Here is a 6,000-nt window from a genome sequence, read left to right as displayed (position 1 = left end):
TGTACATACAGGATGTAATATTTTTAAAAAACAGCAAGAGAGTAAGTGCAACATTATCATAGTAGTTTTCTTCAGGAAGGAGGCGGAGCATACCAGTAAATGTAATATAGTGGTTTAAGTTGAGTGACGAGGTCACAAGCTCATTTTATAATATTTTCAAAGTTTATATATGCTATATATATTCTCTTTCATGTATCAAATATTTCATTCATTCATTATCACCATCATCAGAGTCATCAAGGACTCTTGTAAGTTTCAGAGATTTTTTTTTTTTTTTTTGAGACAGAGTCTTGCCCTGTCACCCAGGCTGGAATGCAGTGGCACGAACTTGGCTCACTGCAACCGTCCACCCCCTGGCTTCAAGCAGTTCTTTTGCCTCAGTCTCCCTAGTAACTGGGATTACAGGTGTGCACTACCACACCCAGCTAATTTTTATATTTTTAGTAGAGACAGGGTTTCGCCATGTTGGCCAGGCTGGTCTCGCATTCGCTACCTCAAGTGATCCGCCCACCTTGGCCTCCGAAACGGCTGGGATTACAGGTGTGAGCCACTGCGCCCGGCCAGTTTCAGAGATATTATTCCAACTTCCTTAACCTTTGGAGATCTAGGCCACGAGAGCTTCACAGAAAGGTTAGCCTCCTTTCGTTCATTTTCTCAGAGGACTCCTTTCAGGGTCTATTTACTAAACCCTCCTCCTCCCTCCGCTCATTTTGCCAGTTTTCTGCTCTTCACTCTTCTCTAACCATTCCCCTGGACCCTTGGCCCAGACAGCCCTCTCAGGCTCAGGGATTCTCATGCACACACAAGCAAGTGGGCCATATCTAGTCTCCTACAACTTTAACCTCGATTCAAACCTTAAGTCCTGCTGGCCTGGGAGGGGTGATGGAAGAGCAGCACCCAAGTGTGGCAGCCTGAGAGCCATAGAAGCATTAACAGAGAGGCCAAGTGAATAATTCTGATGCTTGAACCAAAGGACTTGACCACTTACTAATTCATTTAGCTAATCCTTAGAGCTATATTCCTAGAGTACATACCTTATTTAGCCTAGGCTTGGGCAGATTCTGAAAATAAGTTGGGATAAGATGAATAAAAGTTTATTGTCATATAATGCATTATCTGAACTTGAATTCATAGTGCCAAGGCTCTGTGGATTATTTAAACAGCATAGATTAAATTTTTATTGCATATTCCCATGATGAATTTTACACATGGGTCGTGGTAGATGGAATAATGGCTTCCATTTCTTCTCCCTTTCTTGTATGCATAGTTTTTGCCTTGTTACTTTGCAGATTTCTCCTCTAGAGGTATACATCCCTGCCCTTTGATTTGGGTCCAGGCATGTGACTTGCTTTGGCCAATGAATATTGCAGGTGTGACACAAATGGAGGCATCACAGATATGCCACTGGTCCCAGTGGCTGGTCTCAGACAAATGAGAGCTCTACAGAGCAGACCTAATTTGGATCTGCAGCCTGAAGTCAAACACAAATGAGATCAGCAAAGCTATCCCAGCCAACCTGCAGATGCATTAGACTGAATACATGCTTGTTATTGTATCCTACTGAGTTTTGGGTGGTTGACACAGCATTGTTTTGACACCAGGTAACTGATACCCTGGTGTAAGAATTACCACAGCTTTTCAAGGGACATCAAGTATTACAGGGACTGCTCGGCAGTAATGACAGTTTTCACCAACACATCATTATCCTCTCTTATCACCATCATTATTAGGAAAGTGTCAAGGGTACAAACTTTTGGTCAAAGGGTACAGACTTTCAGTTATAAGATGAATAAGTTATAGAGATCAAATGTACAGCCTGGTAATTAGAGATAATATTATAATAGTGTTTTGTTTACTTAAAATTTGCTAAGAGAGTAGATCTTAAGTATTCTCACCAAATACGAGCACAGAAAAGGTAAGTAGATGAGGTTATGGGTAGGCTTGATTGTGGTAATCATCTCACAACATATACATATATCAAAACAGTACGTTGTACACTTTAAATATATGCACTTTTTATTTGTCAATTATATCCCAATAAAGCTGGGTTGGTAGGTGAGTGTCATTGCTGAGAACTCTGAAGCAGATTTTCTAAATTTGACTCCTGGCTCTCCTTCTTAATAACTGTGTAATCCTGGGCAAGTGACTGCTTTAAACCTTACTTTTCTTATCTTCTTACTGTGTCTACCTCTTGGGGCATTGGGGTATTCCCAATGCTTATTACCATACTAAAGGATCTGAGAAGTCCCACAATAAAGACAGCTTTAAATTTCTTTAATCTGGTTTAACTTTGAAATCCTTTGATTTGTAGAAAACTGTTCAATATCTCACGGGACCCACATCACTTGGGACGTGCTAGTGTGCAGCCGTTGAACAATGAATTTCAAATGTGGCTTAGTGTCAGCAACATAGTCAAATGCCCTCCATTGCAGGGGCCTTTGCCAGGTTCTAAAACATTTCCTTTCTAGCAACAATAAAATATCACTGCCCTTTTCTCATTTTCTGCTTGTATGATAATAATTAGCAAAGTCTTACCTTAACTCTCCAATTTTAAGCATTAAAACCTTTGGATAACTTCTCAAATGTAAGACAGAACTTGATCCATTTAAAAGTGGGAGATTAAAATTGAGATTATTTATATTGCCCACAGAATCACCAGTTTTTCATTATTTTTTCATGTCTATGTACACTGTTCCAAAAATGAAAACATCTCTGAGCTCTTGCCAAAGAACCAAATTCACATTTTCATCTGCCTGCTGAACAGTTTTACTAGCATCTGAAATTCAAAATGCACCAGTCATTAAATGAAACTATCCTTCTTAATTTATTCAGTGGGGTTAAGACAATACCACTCTCACGAGGACCCCAGTGGAAATCCCAGAGTTATTTGTTCTTTTTCATGTCATTCTGTTTCCCTAATCCCGAGCGTTGCTGGGTCTTATAGATTTTACCCCTGTTCTATCCTTTATATCAGTCACCTCTTTTTACTTCTGTTATGATACTCAGGATCAGGAGGTGGCAAACTCTTTATGGAAAGGGCCAGATCGCAGATATTTTGGGTTTTGTGGGTCCATATGGTCTTGATTGCAACCACTCATCTCTGCCATTGTAGCTTGAAAGTAGCCACGGATGAAATCTAAATGAATGGATATGGTTATGTTCCAGTAAAATTTTATTTACAAAAAAAAACCCCAGGCTAACTGAATTTGCCAACCACTGCTCTAGGTCACCCCTCTTTATCTCCACAACTAGAACTTATGTTTGTTTAGGGATTTATATGTGCGTGTGTGTGCGTGTGTGTGTGTGTGAGTGTGTGTGTGTATGTGTGTTAATGCTTTGCAAACTCCCACACATTGCACACTATAAATATTATTTTAGTTGGCAGAGAAAGAAAGTGAGATTTGGAGGAATTAAGTGACTTCCCAAAATCTCTCAGAGGAAGTGGCAGAGCCAGGATTCAAACCTGTTTTCTGCCTGAAAGCCTAACGCTCTGATGATGGAAATTATCTGGACCACTGTCTCCTCCATGGCCTCCTGGACTTTTGCTTCCATCCTCATTATTCAGCCTAATAGTATGACCACACCATTTTTCCAAGGCACAGCCTGCTTCATGTGATGCCTCTGCTTAAAGCCTTCAGTGGATCTTGATTTCTCCACTGTGTACAGACTCATCTAGTCTTCAAGACCTTCCACAGAACAGTAGAAACTGCTTTTCTGAAAATAACTACCTGGCTGTTGTGTTGAAATCCTACTTTGTACCCAAGGCCTACTTTATGCAGCACCTTTACTGTGAATAATTTTCTACCCAACTCTCATGAGTTGAGTTCTCACGGAAGCAATCTCTGAGCTAAAGTTTCACACTCAGGAATGCCCTTGGCTCAACACCTGTGGAAGAGAGAAGAAGAAAGCAGGAGCTACAATGAACCACAGATGCAGATGACACATGGGGAGATCGGGAGCTGGAGTGGTCCTTAAGAAGTGTCCCGAGTGAGCCTAGGTCATCAAGCCTTTTACTTCTGTATCAATCAGTCAGGGCTGTGGGCTTCTCAAGAAGGGGCATGACCTTGGACAAGGTGGCTCTCTGCAGATGGGACATTCCCTGAAGGGGCTGACAGCTAAAAGTCATATGCCCCAAGCACTCCCAGCAGCTGGGATGGGCACTTACTGAAAGGGGATTATCATAGCATCTACCATATCAATCATATGTTGGATTTCTTTATAATCCCTTGATTCAACATTTCTTACACAATTTCCTATAATCTACTTTGTATTACAGTTTTATATATACTTGCATTTCTATATTTCCATAACTCTATATCCCTTCTTTGTGAGCTCCCTCAAGGATGTGGTATAGAAAAATCATGGACTTGAGTCAGATATACCTGGGGTAACTGTCGGCTTTACCTCTTACTAGCTGTGTGAGCTTGGGCAAACCCCTTAACCTGACTGGGCTTCTGTTTCCTGATGTGGAAATCGTAGTACCTATTTCACAGAGTTGCCTTGAGAATAGCAGGAAGTGACAAATAGGAAATGCTCGGTTTCATAGGAATGCTTGATAAATATTAGTTTTCTTTTTCTTGAGGGAAGAGACTCATTTTGGTGTCCTCTGGAGCAATTGTCATAGCGTCATAAACATAAATAACACTTGATACATCTTTGTTGAATTAAATCTTTGAAAGCTTCTTTAAATTCATTCTGACTACTGGTATGAATTCCTCATGCATGAAGGGCATATCCATATTGGAGCTAACCTAGAGACTTTGGAAAGAGGAAGAAGTGAAAGAGAGTGAGAGATGGGGGTTAGGAGAGGGAAAGTAAAGGATCTTTTAAAATTTCTTTGTTTGTGTGGGCCTGAGTGTCTGTATATACATGAGACTATTGGGACCACTGAGTAAACACTTCATGAGTGTCTCTTGTTGAAAATCCATCACTTGAGAACTACAGGACAGCAACAGTCAAAAAAAATTAACCAGGGTCTTTGTTCTCATAGTTGGCAGTGCTAATGACAGTTCTGGCCCTTTCCTTGAGGCTGTAATCTCTTTTGCAGCAAACAGCAGTAAATGTCAACTCTGAAAGCCACCCAGTTTGACAACAAATGATTTAAACACTAAGGGTGACAAGAAGACTATATTTTATGGAGCCATTGGGCTGGCTTTGAGGACTTCCTTGCTGGCATTTTATATCAGATGGGCAAAAATGCCTAGAGTAGCAGATGGGGAGTGTCAGCCTGGGAGGTTTCTTTCTTTCTGTTTTTTTTTTTTCTTTTTTTTTTTTTAACTCTCAGCTTGCAATAAAGGGTAGAAACTGGAGCTGATTTGTTACTTTAAAAAAAGAAGAATTTTCGAAATTCTCACGGTCTGTATTAAGTGTAAATCGGTTATTCCAGAGAATGATACCATCTTAGTCTCAATTAGAAGCTAATCATGCATCTTAGATGCTATTACTTGTAAATTCCCAAGAAACCTCTGAGGTTGGAAGCAATATCTTTATTTATCTGGAAATTCATTATTATTTCAGTGGAATATTGTCAACTGAATTTTTCCAAAAGACAAAGCTTACTAACATGCGATGGCTCTTATCACTGTTGTTGCCTTGAATGCAAAGCCACAGCAGGCTATGATCTTCACAAAGGTGCCCAGCCAGGGAGGTGAATGGGGATTGAATCAAGTCTATGTTCAGGAAAGAAGCTCTGACTGCATCCAACACAATGAGGCCTCCTTTTCTAAAACCTCAAATGCTTCATGGAGGGCAAATAATTTTCATAATTCAATTTCTCTTTATTATGCATAAGAGTTCAGAAAAGCTCAAAGAAAAATTGATGCCCCATCGGGAGGAGAAGAGGAGGGAAGTAAGTGTAGTAATATAAGGCCAACACAAGGGATTCCTGTGGTATTGGAACTGTTCTGTATCTTGACTGTAGGGGTCATATACAAGTCTACACACATGATAAAATTGCTTGAAGCTTACTCAATACACACACATGCACAAATGAGTACAAAT

This window comes from Homo sapiens, chromosome 7, assembly GCF_000001405.40.
Source record: "Homo sapiens chromosome 7, GRCh38.p14 Primary Assembly".
NCBI lineage: Eukaryota > Metazoa > Chordata > Mammalia > Primates > Hominidae > Homo > Homo sapiens.
The sequence above is the reverse complement of the archived record's forward strand: the minus strand, read 5'-3'. Positions refer to the sequence as shown.